General features: G+C 41.9%; 1 protein-coding gene across 8 annotated transcripts in view, besides 5 other annotated features; it reads right to left on the reverse strand.

The window, feature by feature from the left end:
* B3GALNT2 (beta-1,3-N-acetylgalactosaminyltransferase 2) overlaps nt 1–14,062 on the reverse strand; it is a 64,657-nt gene extending 50,595 nt beyond the window's left edge. For 5 of the 8 annotated variants that reach the window (XM_017000394.2, XM_047447004.1, XM_047447002.1 and 2 more), the window contains exons 1-3: nt 13,751–14,062; nt 5,796–5,918; nt 4,291–4,438 (exon numbers count right to left, since the gene is read on the reverse strand). In XM_017000394.2, coding sequence (XP_016855883.1) covers nt 4,291–4,438; nt 5,796–5,918; nt 13,751–13,862 — 383 coding nt within the window. In that variant the 5' untranslated portion in view covers nt 13,863–14,062. The remainder of the gene's footprint in view (nt 1–4,290; nt 4,439–5,795; nt 5,919–13,750) is intronic. The other 3 variants (XM_006711749.4, NM_152490.5, XM_047447005.1) reach the window with 1 other exon arrangement.
* Nucleotides 978–1,178: a silencer, noted in NCBI's record as "peak774 fragment used in MPRA reporter construct". NCBI's record gives its function as "represses an SCP1 promoter by STARR-seq MPRAs in K562 erythroleukemia cells {active_cell/tissue: K562}" and the evidence as "EXISTENCE:reporter gene assay evidence [ECO:0000049][PMID:32103011]".
* Nucleotides 13,591–14,230: a silencer, noted in NCBI's record as "silent region_1988". NCBI's record gives its function as "represses an Ori minimal core promoter by ATAC-STARR-seq in GM12878 lymphoblastoid cells {active_cell/tissue: GM12878}" and the evidence as "EXISTENCE:reporter gene assay evidence [ECO:0000049][PMID:35858748]".
* Nucleotides 13,591–14,840: a biological region, named in NCBI's record as "H3K27ac hESC enhancer GRCh37_chr1:235667854-235668530".
* Nucleotides 14,164–14,840: an enhancer, noted in NCBI's record as "H3K27ac hESC enhancer chr1:235667854-235668530 (GRCh37/hg19 assembly coordinates)". NCBI's record gives its function as "activates a minimal SCP1, AML or CMV promoter by ChIP-STARR-seq in primed H9 embryonic stem cells {active_cell/tissue: H9 hESC(primed)}" and the evidence as "EXISTENCE:reporter gene assay evidence [ECO:0000049][PMID:30033119]".
* Nucleotides 14,541–14,660: an enhancer, noted in NCBI's record as "active region_2802". NCBI's record gives its function as "activates an Ori minimal core promoter by ATAC-STARR-seq in GM12878 lymphoblastoid cells {active_cell/tissue: GM12878}" and the evidence as "EXISTENCE:reporter gene assay evidence [ECO:0000049][PMID:35858748]".

Here is a 25,008-nt window from a genome sequence, read left to right on the forward strand (position 1 = left end):
TGGCTAATTTTTGTATTTTTAGTAGAGACGGGATTTCACCATGTTGGCCAGGCTGGTCTCGAACTCTTGGCGTCAAGTGATCTGCCTGCCTTGGCCTCCCAAAGTGCTGGGATTACAGGTGTGAGCCACTGTGTCCGGACCTGAATTAGTAACTCTAGTTTAGACCCATGTAAAGGACCTGTAAATTCACTGGACATCTTCACCCAGATAACCCACAGACAGCTGTGTGCTAAAGCCTGCTACTACTGGCTTCTGGGAGCCAACTGTCAACTTTTCAGAAATTTTGTGAGACGGTTATTAAACATAGCCTTTATTTAAAATTAAATTATATAATCTTATAATATATATTAAAATCAAAGGAAATACTCAAATTAATCACTTAATGTTTTACTACATTTTACTATTATGTTCTTGAGATCATTTATATTTATTACATCTACATGGTGGAAATAGTATATATGGCATGCTACTGCTTATCTTTCCCCCACTCTGTGTTCAGTGATGTCACATTAGTCACTTGAATTGGCCATAGTGGAAATATTCACACCCTAGAAACTGGCAAATAATACAAATAAGGGTTTGGTTTATTGTTTTGTTGACTGTCTAGACTTAAGAAAGTATAGAGAAAATGTTGATAATGCAAATTAAGCTTAATGTGATGTGTCTATCTATAGCCACTACAGAGTGAATAGTTAAAAAAAAAAAAAAAAGTCAAGGAAGATACGATTCCAGTGTTCCAAAACTATTACCTGATACAGCATAGAAGTCACTGACTTTATTAAGTGTAAAGCTGACATATCTTAGTTGTCACTTTAGTCCTCACCTCACTGTTTAACTTAAAAGAAAGACTTTTGTCACAACTACACTCTTTTGTTAACTGCAACCATAAGTTGGTCATAGATAGGAGAGTCTGACAAACAACAAAAGCGTTCTATGAGAATCAACTGGTTTCATGGAATTTACGATAAACAGTATTGTATAGGTTATTATCTGTCAATTACAGGCTGTATATACTTTATGTCAATAAAATTTATAATAAACATGTATGTACATATAAGCATCATTTTTCCCAGAGAGCCAGTTAGTAAACCTTTATCAGTACACTACTGCCTGTAGGAACCTCAAGGTCAACATATACACAACTGAGCTTCTTTCCCATGAAACCTGCTCTTCTCTTTTAGTATTTTTGTTTTGATTGATGATTCCACTATTCTCCAAGTCAGAACACTAGCAATCTTCCTAGCCTCCTCCTCCATTTTCTACATTCAATGACCTTATTCTCTCACAAGGTCACCCCTCTGATCTCTGTAGATCAGCCCCTCAGCAGTCCTTGCCACAACAGGTCTCGTCCTTCCACTCAACCCTCCACATGCCTGTTACATGTGATCTGCTCACTGTCTGCCTCTCACAGTCATATGCTTCCCCCCTCTTTTCTTTATATACACCTCTCTACTCTCCTACCTCTCCTGGCTGTTTCTCTCACACTGTGCCACAACCCTTCCCCCACCACCACAAGCCCTGTGCTCAAGTTATATAGAAGTGTTAGGAGTTTCTCAAACACCCCGGGCTATTTTATATCTATTTATATCACAGCACATACAACATTTTATTATACGATTACACCTATTTCCTTCTACTAAATGTCAAGCCCCTCCTAACACTCTATTTATCTCTGTATTCTACCACACATACTACATTATTTGCTTACAGAAGTACTTAGTGTTGAGTTTGGGTCCTTTGGTGAAATGCAAGAATGGAAAATATGCCATAACCACAGAAATGCAGTTTCTGTTACTAATTACCAATTAAGGCAGAATACCTTTCATAGATAACTAGCATTTGGAATAAAAGTATAAACAGAAATGAATAAATGTGCTAACTAAATTATTGCAAGTATGTACCAAATTTGGTTTTTTAGCCATCTTACTAGGTACTCTTACTAGATCCACAAAATTACTGTGTCCCAGGAAGGTGTTTCTGCCTAATATCTATTTTTATACAGATAGCTGATCATTCTCATAACACAAATCAAGCACGCTAAATTTAAAGCAAGACTGTTATGATGGCAAATAAATTAGTGGTGAAATGTCTGAATATAAACTATATTCATTACATTTGGTTCTGAGTCATTCATTCAATAGTTGTTGAGTGCCTTAGTCTGCACCAAGCTAGGTTTTAGGTATTGGGAATACACCAGTGAAAAAACCTGAAGCCCCAATGCTCATGAAACCTACATTCAAGTGGAGAAAGACAAACAATTTTACAACTAAATACAATACAGATGCCAGCTGGTGATAAGTGTTACCAAAAAAAAATTAAAGCCAACTAAGGGAAGACACAAACAAGATAGGGGTGGGCTGCTATTTACTATGGGGCTGTCTGCTAGAGTGACATCTAATCAGAGACCTGAAGGAAGTGAGTCCTGAGGACATTAGTGAGAGAGGACGTAGGAAATGCAAAGGCCCTGAGGTAGGGGCACTTTTAGTGTATGAAAGTACAGTAAGGCAGCCAGTGTAGGGGAAGTAGATGTAGATAAGGTCAAATACCACAACAAAGACTTGGAGTTTCACTCTGAGCAAGAAAGGAGGTCAATGGAGGGGTATGAATAGAGAATTGACATAATTTGACTAATTTTAAAAGGATCACTCTGGCTGCTGTATGGAAAATAAAATGTAGGGGGTCAAAGGTAGAAGCAGTAAGTTCAGAGAAGGGGACTTCTGCAATAATCCAGGTGAGACATAATGGCAGCCTAGATCAGATGGCAGTGGTAAAGGTGGTGAGAAGTCAGATTCTGGGTATGGTCTAAGCAGCATCTGGAAGGTATGCTGATGGATTGGATGTGGCAGGTGAAAGGAAAAATCAGGGTAACACCAAGGGTTTTGGTCTGAGCAACTGGTGGAGGAGTCATTATTTTCTAACAGGGAAATACTACAGGAAGTACAGCTTTTGGAGGTGGTTCTGATAGTAGTGATGATTCTGAGGTCTTTCATTTGCTGTGTAATAGGCTCTATTATCATTGCAACCATGAACTAAAGAAACCTGTCTTGAAAAGGAATGAAAGCTACTATGAGTAAGCACTACTAGTGACAAGAAAATTCACAACTAGGCCGGGCTTGGTGGCTCACGCTTGTAATCCCAGCACTTTGGGAGGCCGAGGCAAGCAGATCACCTGAGGTCAGGAGTTCGAGACCAGCCTGGCCAACATGGTGAAACCCTGTCCTTACTAAAAATACAAAAATTAGCCGGGCATGGTGGCAAGTGCCTGTAATCCCAGCTACTTGGGAGGCTGAGGCAGGAGAATCGCTTGAACCCAGGAATTGGAGGTTGCAGTGAGCCAAGATCGTGCCACTGCACTTTAGCTTGAGCGACAGCAAAACTCCATCTCAAAAAAAAAAAAAATTCACAACTGCAATTTGCTTGTATAGCTACTCAGTCACAAATGTGCCAGTGCAATTCAATCCTGAAAGGGCCTTCTCTGCTTATCACCTGAGTCTTCACATACATAGAAGTCAACTTCTATGCGTTTCTTCCCCTAGTCCCTCACTACACAATCTTCAGAGGTTGATCTCATTGAGAACAGACTAAGGCTTTGGGCCCCTAACTAATAACTGAGAGCTATCTAATGTCAGCATGAAATGGATTACCAAAGCTCAGTTCCAGAAGGGTAGTCAGGAAAAAGAGCATGGCATATTACACATACTGCAGATTACACAACTAAAAAATACTACAAAACTGAAAAAAATTAAATTTATCTCTGTGAAGTTAGTGAAAAGTATATTTAGACATGCACATGTGTCTAAGGAGAGAACTGCTCTAGAACAGAACCTTTTAAGAATTGCTATTCTAAATCAAAGCAAAAAACAAACAAACCACACTGGGTATCTAAATACTACACGTTAACCAGTGAATATACTCTCTTCCAATTATCATTTGGCTTAAAATGTTGGTTAAATTTACTTTTTGGCCCAAACTATATGGAAGAAAAGCAAATGAAACAGCCATTTCTCCCAGGAAGAGCCCACATATCTGAATGAACATTTCTATTCAAAGTAAGGTTTTTCAGAACTTTTTTTTTTTTTAAATTAGGCAGGGACTCATTCCCATCATGCAGGCTAGAATGCAGTGGTGCAATCATGGCTCACTGCAGCCTCAATTTTCCAAGCTCAAGCAATCCTTCCACCTCAGCCTCCCCGGTAGCTGGGACGACGGGCACACACCACCACGCCTGGCTAGGTTTTTCAGAACTCTTATTTCAATAAACCAGGCAAGGCAACAACTCAGAAAACCTACCGTTGACTTAATGTGGGATGCTGTAGCAAATGTCTCATCCAGGTGCTTCTTATCACGTTTCGAAGTTCATGGTTATTGCGAGCTGACAACACGCCAACTACCACATCATAGTGAGTAGATTTCCACTGAGGAAATAAGGCCAACTGATCTAGAAATAAGAACAATACATGAGAAATAAGTCATGTATCAATTACTATGAAGTTCAATATGTATCATAAGTTTATTACAAAATAAGCTTATGTTTGTAGGAAATTCAGATAAACACAAAGAAAAGAATTTTTAAATCACATATGAACCCACTATCCAGAGACAACCACTAATAACATTTTGGTTTAGAGTATTTTTGTCTTTCACGTATATATGTATGTATTCATGCTCACGTAAGTATACTAATTCTTCAAAACAAACAAGATGTGGTAAGAATCTGTTTCAAAAGGCAACGTAGCATAAAAAAATAGTAGGCATTAAGAGTCAATTAGGCCACAGTTAGAATCCAGGCTCTATCATATATTAACTATAAGTTATTTAGCTTCTTGAGCCTCAGTTTCCTCAACTACAAAATGGGTATAATAATACTTCTCATAAAGCTGTTGTAAAAATTAAATGAGATAACATGTATAAAGCTCTTGGTTTGGTATTAGGCATATATGAGGCATTCAATGGCAACTAAAAAAAATGTGCTTTGAAAAGTGAGGTCCTACATTAATGTTAGTTATTAAGTTTGGCGGATGACGCTGAAGGACTTCCATACCGGAAAGTAATGCAACCCTTATTTATATCAATGAATTCTATAGCCAGTAAACCTTTCACTACCTACAAAATATTCTGAAGAATGACGGGAAAGCAACACTTTTAGTAAAAAAAAAAAAAAATAATAATAAAGTAAGTCATTCTGAACGGCTCATTTTTTACTGTCAGAAGGTCTAATGGGCAGGGTTACATTTCCATGTAAAACTTGTCCTTAGAAGACAGAAGAGAAAGATATACTTTGTCCTTGTTTTTCATCACCAGTTTTAAGGCTTGAGAGCTACAAGCTTATATATAGCTCTGATGAGGTATCCATTTCATCTCTTTCTCCAGTGGTGGGAACTGATCCAAAACGTTTCCAAAAATAAATTATTGAAGCCCAGACTCTTTACTATATTAAATGCAATGTTTTTATATACCATGGGATCTAGGTATTCAGTCTAAAAGACAACAAAACCAGGTTGATATTTTCTTCAAAGGCCCAATTAAAATAATAAAAACAGATCTTTCTACTAGGATAGTTTTAAGGATATAATACAGAAATTTTTGTGTAGATACCTTATTTTCCACAATAGATATATTTCTTAAAATGTTTCATTCTGGGCCAGGCACGGTGGCTCATGCCTGTAATCCCAGCACTTTGGAAGGCCGAGGTGGGCGGATCACCTGAGGTCGGGAGTTCAAGACCAGCCTGACCAACATGGAGAAACCCTGTCTCTACTAAAAATACAAAATTAGCCGGGTGTGGTGGTGCTTGCCTGTTATCCCAGCTACTTGGGAGGCTGAGGCAGGAGAATCTCTTGAACCCGGGAGGTGGAGGTTGGGGTGAGCCGAGACCGCGCCATTGCACTCCAGCCTGGGCAACAAGAGTGAGACTCCACCTGAAAAAAAAAAAAAAGTTCCATTCCAAATGGAATAGAGGTATTTATTATTTCACTCTACAATGAGTCATGTACTAAAACGAATTCTTTTATAAAGACAATTTATTTTTAAATAAATTCAAATTTTCATGGATTAAGCTTATTAATAGGCCATATTTATTGAACAGTTAATCTGTGAAAAGCACTACATATAGAGTATCATTTAATGTTCACAACCCTATGAGGTAGGTACTTGTTTCTTTTTTTTTTTTTTTTTGACGGAGTCCCACTCTGTGGCCCAGTCTGGAGTGCAGTGGCGGCGATCTCGGCTCACTGCAACCTCTGCCGCCCGGGTTCAAGTGATTCTCCTGCCTCAGCCTCCTGAGTAGCTGGGATTATAGGCGCCTGTCACTGTGCCTGGCTAATTTTTGTAGTTTTAGTAGAGATGGAGTTTCACCATCTTGGCCAGGCTGGTGTTGAACTCTTGACCTTGTGATCCACCGCCTCGGCCTCCCAAAGTGCTGGGATTACAGGCGTGATCCACCGTGCCTGGCCCAGTACTTGTTGAACAAATGAAACACCCAAAGAATTCAGTAACTTAAGTCAAACAGCTTGGAAATGGCTGGGCTAAGATTTAATCCCAGGCAATCTAACACCATTCTTTATCACTGTTCTATTCTAAAGCTATACAGCTTAATATAGCTTATCTGAGTCTAAATTCTGATCTTTTAATCCACAATACCAGTTCAACTGAATTAGCAATAAGCGGATCATTGAATACGCTGGGTAACACATCAATTTTTTTTAACTCATAGCTCAGAACATTTTTTCTCAGATACATAACTATATGATGGAAGTTGTACCTAGTGCTGGAACTCACTCTAAATGAGTGTCTGAATTCAGAGACTAATTTAAATGACTATGTAAAACTGACAATATGCCTCCCCACCTTTTTCACAGAGAAATATGTACATTCTAGTGTCAGGAAGGAGGCAAAACAAAGGTAGTGACCAGCCAGTTCTGACATTGATTCCACAGCCAAGATTTTGCATTACGTTAGTAAGAAATTATTTAAATCCCTGTGCTTCAACTTCTTAATTAGAGAAAACTGATACAAAAAAAATTTTGGATATTCTATTTCATTTGTTTCAAAGTCTCATCTCAAAAGATTAAAAGCTGTAGGGCAAAAATCACATTTAATCTAAATGCCTCATTTATCTGACATCATCAGAAAATAAGGATGCTGCACAAAAGCAAACTTTCAAAATATTTGAAACATCACTTTTAATTCCAATAATTTACTACCTTATTTTTGATGGCTAATCAAAGCAAATCTTTTAGAAATAGATTACATAGAACATAATTTAATCTTTTCTTGATGTCTCAAAATCTTCATGAAAATTTCTCAAATCTATCCCTTTCTTGTCATTAATTCTAGCTGCTGCTCAGTTCGGTCTGTTTTTTCACCTGGACCAGTACGAGGGCATCCTAACTGGTTTTTACCTGACTTCTCCATATAATTGTCAAACAAGATTTTTCTAAAAATAATAAAGAAATACAAAGATAACCATGTGACATGTGAAAATCCCATGGATTATGGATGGAAACCTCTTTTTGATCTTATTCCACCTCTCTGCCACTCTCAATCCCCCCTGCTTCTAATCCATGTCTAAGCTGCTTCTGTTCAACTGCTTTACTTTACATGCATTTCTCTTTTTCTTGCAGAGGGAAAGTAACACGGCATATCGTGGTCTTTTAGAGAACTACTTCAAGATATATTGAAGTCAAATGTCAGAAAAATAGGTTTTTTAACCACATACCATTAATGTAAATTAGTCCAATAGACTCCTGAGTACTGTGTTACACAGTACAAAACCCAAAGCAGATGCATAATAAAATACCTATGTAAGAATGTTGCTCAAATTTCTAGCTCCCTTTACCAATCTGGCTCTAAACTCTTATCACCTTTTATGTTACAAGAACAGGGTACCTAGTTGACTCCAGTGTCTAGAAACAGAGGGAAAAAAAGAAAGTGGTAAGAAGTAAACATGATACAGAAGGACATAAAGATAATTCAGAAAAGAAAAAAGGCAAATAGCAAGCCTATGAAAACATGTTCAACTTCAATAAGAATCAAGTTTGAATTAGAGCAATGAGACACCAGTTTTCTCCTACATTCAAACTGACAAATGTCTTCTTAAATGATTGTAACTAAATGATGGTACTTCAAGGAAATGTTGTTAGTGATTTCAACAAAGTGGCTACTCTCCGCCGGGCACGGTGGCTCATGCCTATAATCCCAGCTTCAATTTTGGGAGGCCGAGGAGGGCAGATCACAAGGTCAGAAGTTCGAGACCAGCCTGGCCAATATGGTGAAACCTCATCTCTATTAAAAATACAACAAAAATTAGCTAGGTGTGGTGGTGCATGCCTGTAATCCCAGCTACTCGGGAGGCTGAGTCAGGAGACTTGCTTGAACCTGGGAGGCAGAGGTTGCAGTCAGCCAAGATCCCGCCACTGCTCTCCAGTCTGGGTGACAGAGCTAGACTCCTTCTCAAAAAAAAAAAAAAAAAAAAAAAAAAAAAAAAGGCTACTCTTTTTCATTGCGGGAAGGAATGTAATTTGGTACAGTCTTCTGCAGGGCAATTTGGCAATGTGTCAAATAATTTAGAATGGTGTAACTTTGTCCAGCAATTCTAAGAACTCATTCTAAAGAAATAATCAGTGATACACTCAGAAGATCTTTATTAATCATAGTGTCACCTATTAATAGCGAAAAACTGCAAGCTACATAAACACATAAAGGACTCATTAAATAAATTATGGTGTAGCTATATGACAGAATACTATGCAGCCATTAAAATTACATGTTAATCATATCATTAAACATTATTCTATTAATACATCATATTAAGATAAACAGGCGATAGGAACTATGTAGATACTAGACGGTTCTGTTTATATAAAGTACAAAAGTAGCCAAATTTCTGCCACTGGTTACTATCCCTGGTAGTGACAAAACAGAGCATGAAGGGAACTTCTGAAGCACTGATAGTTTTCTTTTTTTAAATCTGGGTGGTGATTAGTTGGGTGTGTTCAATTTGTGAAAATACATCAAACTGCGCCAGTTTTATTCTCTTGATTTATTCACTCAAATGACAGAGCATCTCCTATGCTCATTGTTCTAGATGGCACAGATACAGCAGTAAACAAAATCTTCATAATGTCAGGACTAAATCACAATCCCAAGCAAGCTCCCTGAGGGCAACGTAAGGGCCAAGGGAAAGTTTTCCCTCTGAAGGTTCGGTGAAAATCACTGACAAGAGATGGACAGGAGAAAAGGCATATAAATTTATTTGATCAGTAAAGATACAGGAGAAAGTGCCCATTTCTGTGCTTAGGTTTAACAAAGTATAGATAGCTATGTGGAATTAAGATTGGACAGAAAGGGTAGGATCTAATGTTAACAGATGGAGTTGGAAAACCCAGCAAGGCCTGTCTAGATTCTTCTTGTCCTCTCTGAGTATACATTCTTTCCTACTGGGTATGGGATAGGACCCTCTCTGGTATGAGGTTCTTATGACCTTTAATAAAAGAAGGTAAGTTAGGTAATTTTTATATAGAAAGGAGGTGGTGGGGGCTAGTTAGAGTAATATGTTTAGGTTTTATGGCTGGCTTTGGGGAAGAGGGATTTTAGTTTCTACAGCTAGCCTCAGGTGAGAATGCAAGGCCAGAGAGAGGACAGCAGCAGCAGGTCAGAGACAGCTGCTTCTGAGGCCTTATTTTGGGGTATTGTTTTCTTCTGAGACCCTACAGTAAGAACTATTTCTTTTCTTAATATGTAATATATCCTGAGAGTCTGGCAACCTGCTCAACCCTGCACTGTGAGTGGACATCCAAAGGTATATTAAAGTCTAAGGGAGGGCCTGGCGCAGTGGCTCATGCCTGTAATCCTAGCACTTTGGGAGGCCGAGGTGAATGAATCGCTTGAGGTCAGGAGTTCGAGACCAGCCTGGCCAACATGGCAAAACGCAGTCTCTACTAATAATACAAAAATTAGCTGGGTGTGGTGGCACACACATGTAACAGAGGCTGAGGCAGGAGAATGGCTTCAACCCGGAGGCAGAGGTTGCAGTTAGTCAAGATGGTGCCACTGCACTCCAGCCTGGGCGACAGAGTGAAACTGTGCCTCAAAATAATAATCAAAAAAGTCTAAAGAAGGTTGACATCAAAATTGATTGCTCAAAATAAGCCCAAGAGTCTTAAAAATCACACCAAAATTCCACTCTGATATGCATGCTCTTGGAAGAGTCACAAATAGATACAAATCTTGAAAATGAAGAAAACATGTGAGCCTGTCACAGATCTAATGATAAAGACAATCATCATACACACTACCAAAGACACCTCCCAAAACACCACACTAGCACAGGCATCAGCGGCCACCAGACTACCACTCCTCTCTCAAACTCATGGAGTGTTTACTATGAAACAGGCACTGTTGCGGGTGTTTCATTAATTGAATCTTCACAATAAGTCTATGAGATCATCATCTTATAAATAAGGAAACTGAAGCACAGAGACACAATTAGCATATAGGGATAATTTTGGAAGAACTCACCCCAGGCAAAATTACAAAGCAAGCTCAATTTGTTTTCTGACCTTCTACTTGCTCTACATCTGTTTCCATTAGATACTGTGAGCACCTTGGGAGAAGGGACTAGGCATCCAGCACAGAATCTAACACTCAAGTACTTGTTGAGTGAATATGCTCCTTTGTTTTGGTTTCTTTCTTTCCAGATACCCTAGAAAGCGAAGCCTTCTTTTGTCACATCATTTTTCTAAATTAACCGTTAAATAATTCCTACTTAAGGCATTACCCAAAACGAGCATTTTGTAATCAAGATATCCTATGTTTAGATTCCTTAGTCCGATGGTTATCTCCACCTGCATTTTCCTCTGTCACCCTCAGGTGTACTGGATTTCACTTCCTCTTTACCAGTTGCTTTCCCTGACTGGTTTAAGGGAACCTATCACATTAAAAAAGTTGCTGACTCTGGTACTAAGGTGACTCACTTACTTCATTCTGGTCCCTGCTCAACTGTTACCTCTTCAGAATGGAATGGACTTCCCTGACCTATTTAAAACCATCTCTTTAATCTCTTAACACTGCTTTATCTTTTTTCCCTATACTTATCACTACCGCTGTGATATTTATAATTATTTCCTGATGCTCTGTCTTCCCTTCTAAATTGTAAACTACATGAGGGCAGGAAGTTTAGCTTGATTACTGCTGTAATTCCACACCTACGATAGGAGCTGGCACAGAGTAGGCTCTCAAATATTTGCTGAATCAACTGCGAGCCAAAGAACCTTTTTTAATATTCAGGGAAGGTAAATCGCTCTTTCAAAAAAAACAAAGAAACTGCCATTACTTAATGAGACTGAAGACAGACAAAGCAGCAGAAGAGAAAAAAAAATACATTTAAAAATGTTAATTCAAGAAAAGAATACTTAGCAAAATCTTGGGTTTTTTTTTCTCCTGTTAGGCTTAAAGTACAAGGGTTAAAATGTAAAAACACCCAACTATTTTAGTTTCAACATGGTGACAGCACAATGGTAAAGGAATTATGGGAAATTTTAGCATTTAAGATGCTTCCACTGCTTTTAGCTTTGAAAGTACCAAAAGGAAAAAAGGAAAGGTAGGAGTCAGTCTTGTTTAATTAATTAATTAATTATTTTGAGATGGACTTTCGCTCTTGTCACCCAGGCTGGAGTGCAGTGGCGCAATCTCGTCTCACTGCAACCTCCGCCTCCGAGGTTCAAGTGATTCTCCTGCCTCAGCCTCCTTAGTAGCTGGGATTACAGGCATGCACCACTATGCCCGGCTAATTTTTGTATTTTTAGTAGAGACGGGGTTTCGCCATGTTGGCCAGGCTGGTCTTGAACTCCTGACCTCAGGTGATCCACCCACCACGGCCTCCCAAAGTGTTGGGATTACAGGCGTGAGGCACCGCGCCGGGCCAGTCATGTTTAACTTAGATTATTAAAATATCGATGGTTGACAGCTGCAGCAAACCACCATGGCACACGTTTACCTATGTAACAAACTTGCACGTCCTGCACACGTATCCCGGAACTTAAAAAAAAATCCCATTTATTATCTGACCAGATACACAGTACTCATTCAAAGCCAAAGTTAATTAACATAACTAGTATTGATCTTCTTACCTACGTTATTACCCTGTTCCTTTCTATGGTCTACTTCTTCATTTCCTTAATCTAGCCTGGTCTAACTACTGGATGGCAGATAAAGGCATCATCCTTCAAGTGCAGTAAGGGAGTAGGAAAAACTTGTCTCAAACTAGAAAACTGCCTAGCAAGTCTACTAAGATTTCAGTTTGAAGTCTACTAACATTTCAGTTTTTGTTTGTTTTACTGAACCCTAAACAACCATTAAGGCCATAAACAGACTTAATGACGCTCTACAAGGAGATTCCAGCAGGGCTCACTCATAACAAAAGAGAGAAACCTGTAACACACAAGCAGCTGTTACAAAGCATTTTTTATATATGGCGTTCTCTTCTTAGTTCACTTCACAAAAACCTAAAAAACACTGAGCAAAACCCTGACCCCATCAACTGGTTAAGTGCATAGCAACACTGTACTTTCATTAAATCACTTAAATAGTGTTTAATTCTATTCAGGTCACACAAATCCTTTTCAAAGAGCTAGTGATCTAATAGGAAAAGAGATTGTTACCAAAATAACCTCAACATAATTTCATATAACTGAGACTGTTTTGAGGATTGCCGAATACTTTCTACTTATAAGGCATAGAGTGCTGAACTGCAAACACTCAATTCTAATTTTAAGAACTTTTGGATTAGAAAACAGCTGTTTTGGGGAGAGATGGTAAGGGAAAAAAGTCCCAGTATAGTTACAAAATTAAGTATTACATAATATTTAAAAGAGCTTTCTAGGTTTCTTTCATGTTCTAGGGCAAGCCCTTAAAGAAGAAGACAAGAGATACAGGGAAAGCTAAAGTAGTGTTCAGGGTGGTGGAACCCACTAACAAAACAATCCGCTGGGCACCGTAAGTAAAGCATTCTATTAGGCTGTGACGCGAAACAAGAACAAAGGTTTCATTCCTACGAGAGATTAAGTTTTAGAGCAAATGGACACGATCGTTAAAGAATTTGATATTTCCATGTAAACTGCATTAGCAGGTTATGCGATCCAAACTCACAGGAACAACTCCAACTCTCGGCCATGCCCTATTTCATGTCTAGATTTGTTTAACCGACTTACATCATAATCCAAGAATACGAACTACAGTATATTCTTACAGCAAAGTTATTCCTTAAAAGCAAAACCGAGCCACCTTTGAAAACACGCACACACATTATCCACGGCACTAAAACCCCAGTCTTGACCGAGAAAGACCAACAACTTGGGGGGGAAGAAAACAACTTCAGAGCCAGAGCTCCCAAAGCAGAAAGCGCTGGCGGCTGAAGGGCACACGAGGTTCCGCTCCCGGGCGAACGGGCGGCGTCGGACATCACTAACCAGGCCTGGGGACAGGCGAAGGACTTGCAACTGCGGGCGCCGGCTCTGCGGGCGTTAAGGGAAACGGGGAAGTGAGAAGAGGCGGGGACACGAAAAGAGAAAAGCTCCCTCAAGTTTGCCCGATGTTAACGCTCCAAGGATGAAAAGAGCCGTTTGTTTCGTCTGGGGACCGTCGCGTTTGGCCCTTCCCCCGCCTCCAACAATTCCCGGCGAAGCCCCGCGGCACCAAGCCGGGCCTCCCACCCCCCCGGCGGCCGCCAACCCGCCCGGCCCCAGGACCTCACCTGCAGGGCCGGCCCCGGAGGCGCAGGCGGGCGGCGGGGAGCGCAGCCGCAGCCAGAGGTGCAGCGCGGCCCCGAGCACACACGGGCACAGCAGCACCAGCCAGTTTCGCATTGGCCGCCCCCGCCGCGAGCCGGGCTCTCCCGCGTCCCGGCGGAGAGGGAGGGGACCTGCAAGTGCGGAGACTGAGGGGCGGCGGCTGACGAGCGACCACTCCGAGCACGCCCGCCCTCGCGCTCGGCGACGTCTGGGGGGCTCCTCGCAGCTCCCGGCCCCGCTCCTCCGGTCCCTCAGACCGCGGGTGGCCGCGGCTTAGCCGGCCGAAGCCCCGCCCCCTCCGCCTGGCCTTCCCACCGGCTCCGCCCACCTTTTCTCCCACTCGCCCCGCCCTCTCCTCCCGCGTTTCCACACGCGCCAGCCAGCCGGCCGGGAGCTGAAGTCCCGCTCTGGGCCCAGGCAGGGGGCGCCCGCGGTTTAGAAACCACATTTCCCATGAGCCTAAGCACGCGCTTCCGTCACTCGGCGGCCGCGGGGGCGAAGGGCGAGGCCCCACACAGAGCATGCGCATCCCCCTTGACGTTTGCTGCCACCCCACGGCCCAGGGGAGGTAGTGCCGGAGACCCGGTGCTCGGAGGCTGCCCGGAGCCGCGAAGGGAAATGCGCTTTGCCTCAGATTTGAAGGAAATCCGAGTGGCTCTTGTGTGAAATCACGCAGAGCTCCTTTGTTCCGCGTGCTCTCTTGCTCGACTGCTGTGGGAGGTGGGATCCTGCTGACGTCTCCTTGGCCCGTAGAGTGGGGCGAGGAAGCCCGAGTGTCCGCGCCTGGAGCGGTGACTCATCAGGGATTAGCTCTGGTGCCGTGGGTTCCCGGCTCTTTGCCCGGTTCTGTGCTCTGGGAACGCAGGGTGACAGACAGCGAGCTGGGGACTAGGCTGTGGAACACGATGATGACGAGCCAATCAGGGTAGAACTGCACGTGCTCCGGGTTCATACTGGAGCTGGGAGCGAAACGGGAGCCGGGCGAGCTGGGAGAACGTGGGCTCCGGGGACCTGGGGAAGGGTGGCCGCAGCGAGCCTTCCAGGGAGAACGCCGGCCCCGCGTCTTGAGGCTTTGCCCCGGGTGGGAGCCCTCCTGGCCCACCAGGCCCGCGCCGAGGCAGCCGGAAAGCGGGGACGGGGCGGTGAAGGCACTGGGGTGAGGATGGGAGAGAAGGATGAGAACGAGCGGCTGGGCTATGGGGCGGTTTTTGTTTCTGCTTTTGTTTTTGAGACGGAGTCTCACTCTGTCACCCAAGCTGTAGTGCAATGGCGCGATCTCGGCTCGCTGCAACCTCCGCCTCCTGGGTTCAAGCGATTCTCCTGCCTCAGCCTCCTGAGTGGCTGGGATTACAGGCGCCCGCCACTGCGCCCAGCTAATTTTTGTATTTTTTTTGTAGAGACGAGGTTTCGCCATGTTGGCCAGGCTGGTCTCCAGCTCCTGACCTCAGGTGATCCGCCCGCCTCGGCCTCCCAAAATGCTTGGATTACAGGCGTGAGCCACCGCGCTCGGCCGCGGTTTTTTTTTTTTTTTTTTTAAGTTTCCACAAGTGTGGAAACAGAAGGTGACTGTATTATTGAAAAAAAGTCTTGGATGACAGAAGACCCAACTCAAACAGGCTTAAGGGAAAAAAGTACTTTGGCTCGCCGTGGCTCATGCGTGTAATCCCAGCACTTTGGGAGGCCGAGGTGGGCGGATCACTTGAGGGCAGGAGTTCGAGACTAGCCTGGGTAACATGGTGAAACCCTGTCTCTACTAAAAATACAAAAATTAGTCTGGCGTAGTGGTGGGCACCTGTAGTCCCAGCTACTCAGGAGGCTGAGGCAGGAGGATCGCTTGAACCCAGGAGGCGGAGGTTGCAGTGAGCCGAGATCGCGCCATTGCACTCCAGCCTGGGTGACAGAACGAGACTCTGTCTCAAAAACAAACAAACAAACAAAAAAAAAATAAAAAGAAAAGGCAAGAAAGTAATAATTGGTTGCCAGAAAAAGTATACTATTTTTATCCTCAGGAAAGGTAGTAAATGGCCTCTGTTGATATTGTAAAATTTTCATTTTGTGAATTAGAATGAGTTATCCTAAAAAGAGGACTAATCCCTCATTTCAGCAGAGCTAGTCATTCGACAAATACTTATTGAGTGTCTATTATGTACCAGACACTTTTGTAGGTACTTTAGATACACCAGTGAACAAAATAAAGATCCCTATCCTGTGTTGATGGGGAGTAGGGCGCAGACTATAGACATAATAAAGAAATATACTCAACCAGCATGTTAGAAGGTTATTCCTGCTCTGGAAAATATAACAATTAGGGCCGGGTAGGGGAATTGTGAGTGTGGGATTGAAATGACACAGATTGCAGTATCAACTAGCAGTATTTAAACAACTGTTCAAAGTTACAATGAGCACTAAAGGGAAGAATAAACATAAGTCATCCGAATATATTAAATAATCAAGGTGTTGTTTCACTTAACAACCTAGAGGGGAAGTTTTTCACTGGCTCTCTGACAAGCTTGTAACAAAAATAGTTTTGAATAACTTTGTAACATCCTTCAAATCACATCAGAGTGGGAGCTGTCTATAGTACTTGTTCATAGGACCAGTGACCTTTCCACTTACCTGTTTTCTACTGTCCCCTAATAATCTCATGACTAAAGTGAGTGAAGATTGCAAGACAGTAATTCCTGTAATCCCAGCACTTTAGGAGGCTGAGGTGGGAGGATCACTTGAGTCCAGGAGTTCAAGACCAGCCTGGGCAACATAGCAAGACCTCGTCTCTACAAAAAATTAACAATTAGCTGGGCATGGTGGTATACGCCTATAGTTCCAGCTACTCGGGAGGCTGAGGCAGGATGATCACTTAAGCCCCAGAGTTCAAGGTTAGAGTGAGCTATGATCACACCACAGGACTCAGTCTGGGTGACAGAGTGGGACCTTGTTTCTAAAAAAAAAAAAAAAAGGTAAAAGTGACAGTATGTGTAATGGAAAGAATAAAAAAACTCAGTAGTGATATAAACAGTCTGTGCACTCAAGGGGCTCATAGGGTAAGTAGGAACAAGTTAACAGAATTAGAATTAGGGAGAGACAAACTAGGGTGGTTGGTAACCATGATGGCAATTCAATGTGATAAGTGCTCTGAGAAAGGAATGCACAGGATGTTAGAGCAGCACAAAGCAGGGGGTACAGCTGTCTCTACTCATGGGGGATTGGTTCTGGACCTTCTATGGATACCAAAATTCATGGATGCTCAAGTCCCTTATATAAAATGGTATAATATTTGCATATAACATACACACATCCTCTCATATACGCGAAATCATCTCTAAATTACTTATAACACCTAATATGATGTCTACGCATCACTTCATTCACGTGGATTCAATGGCATGCGCAAATTCAAGTTTGCTTTTTTCCTGAATTTGAGGTTGGTTGAATTCATAGATGCAGTACCCAGGGATATGGAGGGCCAACTATATTTAACTCTACTCAAGGGTCCCCAGAGGAGGCTATCTCTTGAAAATACAGGGCCGGGGCTTGAAGTCAAAGTGGCCAGTTAACAGGGCCAGAAAGTAGGAAGGACATTCAAGAGCACTGTAGGCAAAAAAATAAAAAATAAAATAAATAAACCTGAGCTAGTGATGACACGGCAATTAGGGAAATGTAAGCAATTGGTATGACCTTAGTGCAAGTTAGGAACACGGCAATGATGAGAAGGTGAACAGAAGGCAGAGGCCAGGTTGTAATCATAAACTTTGCTAAGGAATTTGGACTTTATTGTGAAGGCTCTAAAGAAGAATTTTTTTTTCTGATTACCAATGTAATACATGATTATGAAAAGGATCTTGGAAAACAGAAGAATATAAGAAATCATACTACATACAATTCATACATTTTTTAAAAGTTTTTTCATTAAAAAAATTTGCCATTCATACTGTAAGTTAGAATTTATATCCAACTATTTTCACCTAACCTATAAGCCTTCCCATATTTAATTAGTAGTCTCAGAAAATATAACTTAATCATTTGTCCACACTATAATTTCTTATCTGGTCCCGTATTATTGGACATACAGGTTGTTTCCATTATTCCACTATAATAAGTAATACTGGCACTTCTGTGCACAAAACTTTTTCCACATTTCAGATAATTTCCTTTTCTGATATTATTTTTAAGCCGCTTTATTCATACTGCTATTGTTTCAATGTGTATGTCTGCCTTCAATATGTTTCTCTTATCTCACCCTCATATTTTAAAAAAGTTCTTTATTAATTCAAAGGACAAAACTTTTCATCAATGAGATTGAATATTCTTATGTTCGTTAGCTGTTTCTATTTCTTTTGTTAATTAGTCATGTATCTTCCTTTTATCCATTTGTATAAGCCCTTTATTTTTCCTCAGTTTTCTTGCCTTCTAATTTTATAACTTTTAGGACACAAAAACACTTTAAATTTTTATAAATTCAAATGATCAATATTTAATTTTTTTCCATATTTTAGGATGATTCTGATCGTGAGATCTGGTCAATATTCTTGTTTGTTTTATTTAATGTTTTAATCCATTTGGAATTTATTTAGGAATATGGTGTAATGCAAGGATCTCAAAATTAATTAATTTTTTTCATATAGCTAACTATTGTCCTGGCCCATTATTTCCCTATTAGTTTATGACATCACCTCAATTTATTAAAAATTTTTAACATAATAGTATTTGTTTCCAAGCCACAGTTTTGCATTCATCTGTCCTTTCATCAGTACCGTAATACTCTAATGATCCTAGTTGTATAATATTTTGTAATCCAGAGGGCAATTCTCCCTCTCAATACTCTTTATTTCTCACATATATATATATATTTTTTTTTTTTTTTGAGACAGAATTTCGCTCTGTCATCCAGGTCTGGGCTCACTGCAACCTCTGCCTCCCAGTTTCAGGCAATTGTCTTGGCTCAGCTTTTCGAGTAGCTGGGACTACAGGAGCGCACCACCACAGCAGGCTAATTTTTGTATTTTTGTAGAGACAGGGTTTTGCCATGTTGGCCAGGCTGGTCTTGAACTCCTGACCTCAGGTGATCCACCCGCGTTGGCATCCCAAAGTGCTGGGATTACTGGCGTGAGCCCGGCCTATTTCTAATGAATTTTATAATAATTTGTATAGTTATTCGACTTTCCCCTAAACCTTATGTTTAATAAAAAACTAATGCATGGTTATCATAACAAACACAAGTAATGTAATACAAGTGTAAACAAAATATATAATGTTAGAATCCTTCAGCCCACCCCAATCTTTCTTTCCAGACTTAGCCACTATAGCCCAGATATTTCTTCTTGTATATATATTCTGAATTTTTCCAAATTTCTTTACTTTTCCAGTGATGGAAAGGGAGGAATCACCCTCCTTTTCAATCCCCATGTATGCAATCTGTCCCCTTAACCTGTATAACTCCAGAAATTCTAGTCCCCTCTCTCAATATTTCTAAGTACCAAGGCGTGTTCTCTTTTCCACGAGGTCATCATCAGTCTCGTTGCCACCTCTTGTTCCAGACTGCTCTAGTGTTCTCTATCAACCACCTCAACTCATAACCACTTCTCGAGGCCACAGCCCCAGATTCTTCTGCTTTGACCCGAAACACAGACATAGTGCCTCCGTTTATCCCCCAGTCACAGCTAAGACATGGCTGGCATGTTTAACAGACTTGTAAAAGGATTGGCCGGGCGCGGTGGCTTACCCCTGTAATCCTAGTGCTTTGGGAGGCTGAGGCGGGCGGATCCCCTGAGGTCTGGGTTCCAGAACAGCCCGACCAACAGGGAGAAAACCCATCTCTACTAAAAATCCAAAATTAGCCGGGAGTGGTGGCATATGCCTGTAATCCCAGCTACTCGGGAGGCTGAGGCAGGAGAATTGCTTGAACCCAGGAGGCGGAGGTTGCAGTGAGCCGAGATGGCACCATTGCACTCCAGCCTGGGCAACAAGAGTGAAACTCCGTCTCAAAAAAATAAATAAATACAAGAATTTAGCCTGAGAAGATACAGACAGAAAACTTTTAACTTGATATGAGATAAACTTGCTCCTATGGTCCCCCAATAGAGGTCCCTACTGGCTATCTCTTGCCTTAAGCCTTACCCCAGCCCTTTAATGACACTTCCAAGCGCCTTCTCATCCCTTCCATATGAGGGTCACTTCTTGCTGGTTCTCTTTTCTCTAGTACAGGGCCCAATTCGATCAGCCAGTGAAATAAAAATTGCCCTTGAACATCTCTTAGTTTAAAATATATAGTATGTATGTTTTTGTATATGTAATTCTGTAAAAGTATTTTTTTATTCCTCTAATTCTTATTTACTTATTTGGTAGGGATGAGCTCTCACTATGCTGCCCAGGCTGGTCTCGAACTCCTGACCTCAAGCGGTCCTTCTACCTCAGCCTCCCAAAGTGCTGGGATTACAGGCATAAGCCACTGTGCCTGGCCCTCTAATTCTTTATCATTAAAGTTTCTCGTCAGGCTTTAGTTGTTCACTTTCTTCCTCAAGGAAACCATCTTGCCTGGTCACTTAATCAACAAATTTCACTTTTTTTTTTTTTTTGGTGAATAGTTGGGAAACCTTAAAATCATTCAGATATTCTTTTCAGGACTCCTGGCACTCTGCCTCGGGTGGGTACACGCTGCCCTAGTAATGCGTGCTATTTAAATGATTGCTTCTCTTTCTTTTTTAAGCCAATGGTTGAATTCTTTTAAATTAAATGCCTGTGATATGACGACCAGATAATCTTTGCAGAAGACAACCTTTACACTAGCAGACAGAATCATTAACATTTCAGTCTGAAAGCATCTTGACTCGGGCTTCTCCAAGAAGAGTAGGAAAATAGACACTGCCAAACTGTCCTTCAAAAATGTGCTCAAGGAGGGAGGTTGGTGTAACAGGAACAGAGTGAGTGGTGAGGAGAATAATCGGGGATGATGTAGTCCCTAGCAAGAATATGATATAAATCATGATAAGGATTTGGGCTTTTACTCCGAAATGAAAGGGGAGTAGTTACATGGTGGGGTTTTGTTTTTTTTTGTTTTTTTGTTTTTTTGTTTTTTTTTTGAGACAGAGTCTTGCTCTGTCACCTGGGCTGGAGTGCAGTGGCGCGATCTCAGCTCACTGCAACCTCTGCCTCCTGGGTTCAAGCAATTCTCCTGTCTCAGCCTCCAGAGTAGCTAGGATTACAGGCGTGCACCACCATGGCCAGCCATTTTGTATTTTTAATAGAAATGGGGTTCTACCATGTTGGCCAGGCTGGTCTTGAACTCCTGACCTCAAGTGATCCGCCGGCCCAGCTCCCAAAGTTCTGGGATTACAAGTATGAGCCACCGCACCCAGCCTACATGGTGGGTTTTAAGCAAAGGAGTGACATGATCTGACTTATGTGTTAGCAGGAACACTCACATTGCTGTGTGGTGAATAGACTGACTGGGGGTGGGGAAAAATCTACCGTGTGGAGTAGCGGAGGAGATGATGAGTATCATTCAAGTCTTGAGAAAAGCTGCAGTAGCAAGAGCCAACCAGAAGATGGAAGAGGGATCCTGGGTGCTTCTATATGGAGTTGATCTATCTGAGGGTGCAGAGGCCGACTCTAAGATGCTGTGGTGCATCTCCCCAATTCAGGATGGAAAATGTTGACTGCAAAGGAGTCTCAGTTGAATCTCTCTCTCTGGGAACTGCCCTTGGCTGAAGGTGGCTGCCTCACCCAAGGGTACAGCTCCCTCCTGAGAGACAACCTGCATCCAGTGACTACTCAAGGAACGGTGTAAAGATGTGGGTAACTCTGAAGAGCCATCCCGTGGCCTCTCTTGCAACTGCGTCACAGTCCAACTTCTCCCTCCGCCCAATTCTGCTTTCCTCACTCCCTTACCGGCATTCCCAAGAGCAGTCCCCAGTAAACCTGTATACAACCCGTGTTTCAGAGTATGTTTCCATGGGAACCTGACCTAAGACAGCGATTCTGTTAAATGACATGAAAGATGATGTCATTTCTCTACCTAAAACCCTGCAAATGGCTCTCCAGTTCTGTTCTCTCACAGGGAAACCAGAGTCCCTTACAGTGGCCTGCAGGCCGTTGTCATCTGTAGGCCGTTGTCATCTGCAGGCCGTTGTCATCTGTAGGCCATTGTCATCTGCAGGCCGTTGTCATCTGCAGGCCTGAACCCCTCTAACCTCATCCTCTATTCCCCTCCTTCTCATTCAGTTTGCTCCAGAACCATCCTGGCCTCCTTTCCATCCCGAGAATAGGACAGGTACATTCTTTCCTCGGGATCTTTGCACTTTGTTTCTTCTGCTCTTCTTCCAGATATTTTCATAGCTTATTCCTTCTTCTTCTTCAAGTCAACTAAAATGTTGCCTTTTCCATGAGGCCTTCCCTGTCCCTTCTATTAAAAAACCCTGCTCCACCATCCCCAATCTCTATTACTCTATTCTGTATCACTTATCACTCTTTTTTTGTTTTGTTTTGTTTTGAGACAGTCTCACTCTGTTGCCCAGGCTGGAGTGCAGTGGTGTGATTTCGGCTCACTGCAACCTCCACTTCCCGGGTTCAAGCGATTCTCCTGCCTCACCCTCCTGAGTAGTTGGGATTACAGGTGCATACTACCATGCCCAGCTAATTTTTGTATTTTTAGTAGAGGTGGGGTTTCACCATGTTGGTCAGGCTGGTCTCAAACTCCTGACCTTGTGATCCGCCTGCCTCGGCCTCCCAAAGTGCTGGGATTAATGGCGTGAGCCACTGCGACCTGCCATGTGTCACTTATCACTCTTAAACATACTGTTCAATTTACTTATTTATTTTGTTTGCGGTTTATTGTCTTACTGTCTACACAGGGCAGAAATTTTCCCTCCCGTTTTGTTCCCTGATATATCCCAGAACCTGGAGAAGTCACTGGCATTTTGTAGGTGCTCCATAAATATTTATTGAACAAACAGTGAATGAATGAGTGAATCAATGAATTTGGGAATCTTTAGCAAGTTGATTGCAGTAGAACTCACAAGGTGAGATTACCCAGGCATAGTCTGTAGAGCGATGATGAAGGGAGACACCAACATTTAGGTGTGAGCAGAGGAAGTTAAAATTATAAAGGACATTGACAAGAATCCAGACTATAGGAGGAAAACAGGAGGATGTGTCACCCAAGACAAGATGTAAGATGGCAGAGGGAGTGCAGACGACAGCGTACAACCTGACCAACATGGTGAAACACTGTCTCTAAAAAAAACAAAAACAAAAATTAGCCGGGCGTGGTGGCTCATGCCTGTTGACAACATATGAAGCAAGATCAAGGCAGAAATGTGTCTGCTGATTTGAGAGTGGCCAGGTAACTAGCAGTTTCGAGGAATAGGTAGAGCAGAAGGGAGAGTACTGTGAGTTGAGGAGTGAATGAGAAGTAATGAAGTGGAAATGGTGTGTGCATTACTATTTTGAGAAGTTTGGTCATGAAGATCAGAACGAGAAAGAATGGGAGCTGGGAAGAGGGCTCTGATTGAAGAAGTGTGTGTGTGCATTTAGATGGGAGAGATAAGCCTGACTTGAGTATTTTAAGTGATGTATGGAAACAGCCAGTAACAACCATATAATTTGTAATCTAAATCAAGGTTTTGAGAGAAAAAGGGGGCAGGACAAATGCTAAAATGGATAAATGTCAAGACAACAGGAACTATCTGCAAACCAGACCATATGGTCTCCCTGTCCACGCCTCAAGTTTTCCATGCAAGTCATTTATCCTTACACTTAGTGGGCTATTTTTTTCTGACGGTAGGTGGCAGTAAAGAGCTTGCCTCTTTTTGCCTCGTTTGGTTTGGTTTGGTTTGGTTTTTGAGAAAAATTTAATTAGAGATTTTGGATGGCAACTAAGATTGGTAAAGGTTAGCTCCACAGGCTTAAACTCAAAATAGGAGATTTCAACTTAGATTTTACTTTGGGAAAATTCATACACGTTTTTGTGAAAAAGAATATCTCTTGGTTCTCAAAGAAAAAATAATTTTTGGGTAATTATAAAATATGTTGCATTTTCACACTGAGCCATTTTATCTTTAAAATGATGAACTTCCATCTTCTTCCTAATACAGAATAATTTCCATTAGTTTTATCACTTCTTTTTTTTTGAGACAGAGTATCGCTCTGTTGCCCAGCCTGGAGTGCAATGGCACAATCTCGGCTCACTGCAACCTCCGCCTCCTAGGTTCAAGAGATTCTCCTGCCTCAGCCTCCCGAGTGGGATTACAGGTGCCTACCACCACGCCTGGCTAATTTTTGTATTTTTTTTTAGTAGAGATGGGGTTTCACCATGTTAGCCAGGCTGGTCTTGAACTCCTGACCTCAAATGATCTGCCCACCTCGGCCTCCCAAAGTGCTTGGATTACAGGTGTGAGCCACTGTGTCTGGCCTATCCCTTCAGTTTTAGCACACGCATTGCTATATGCACACATTTCTTATTTGTGTATATAAATTTTCAGTCAAGTCTAGCTTCAGTAGACTTTGGGGGACCTTGCTATTGAAGATTATAAACATTTTAAAAAACTATAGGCCAGGCGCCATGGCTCACGCCTGTAATCCCAGCACTTCAGGAGGCTGAGGCGGGCGAATCACTTGAGGTCAGGAGTTCGAGACCAGCCTGGCCAACATGGTGAAATGCCATCTCTAAAAAAAATAACAAAAATTAGCCTGGCGTGGTGGCGTGCACCTGTAATCCCAGCTACTCAGGAGGCTGAGGCAGGAGAATCACTTGAACCTCAGGAGGCAGAGGTTGCAGTGAATCGAGATCACATCACTACACTCCAGCCTGCTGGGCAACAGAGTGGGACTCTGTCTCAAAAAAAGAAACAAAACAAACAAACCAAAAACCTATGACACATAACAGCAAATTTCTTGTTATCAAAGATAGGACTAGAGATGTCTAAAGATAAGAAGTTTTAGGAGTTCGGAATGGTAAAGTGAATGAGCACACCTTATTCAGGGAATCTTGGCAGAATCTAATGTCATAAAATTTAAAATTCAGAAATCTTTGTCAGAGAAAAAACAGAATCAAAATATTATCTGCAGATCCAGCAAACAAATTTGAGTTCAAAACTCAGATTTGCATTTATTAGCTGTGTGGCCTTGAGCATGGCAAGCACTTTACCTCTAGGTCTCAGATTCCTAATCTGTGAAATGAGACTCACAGGATATACTTCAGTGGATTGTTTTGAATATTAAATGAGAA

Source organism: Homo sapiens, chromosome 1, assembly GCF_000001405.40.
Source record: "Homo sapiens chromosome 1, GRCh38.p14 Primary Assembly".
NCBI lineage: Eukaryota > Metazoa > Chordata > Mammalia > Primates > Hominidae > Homo > Homo sapiens.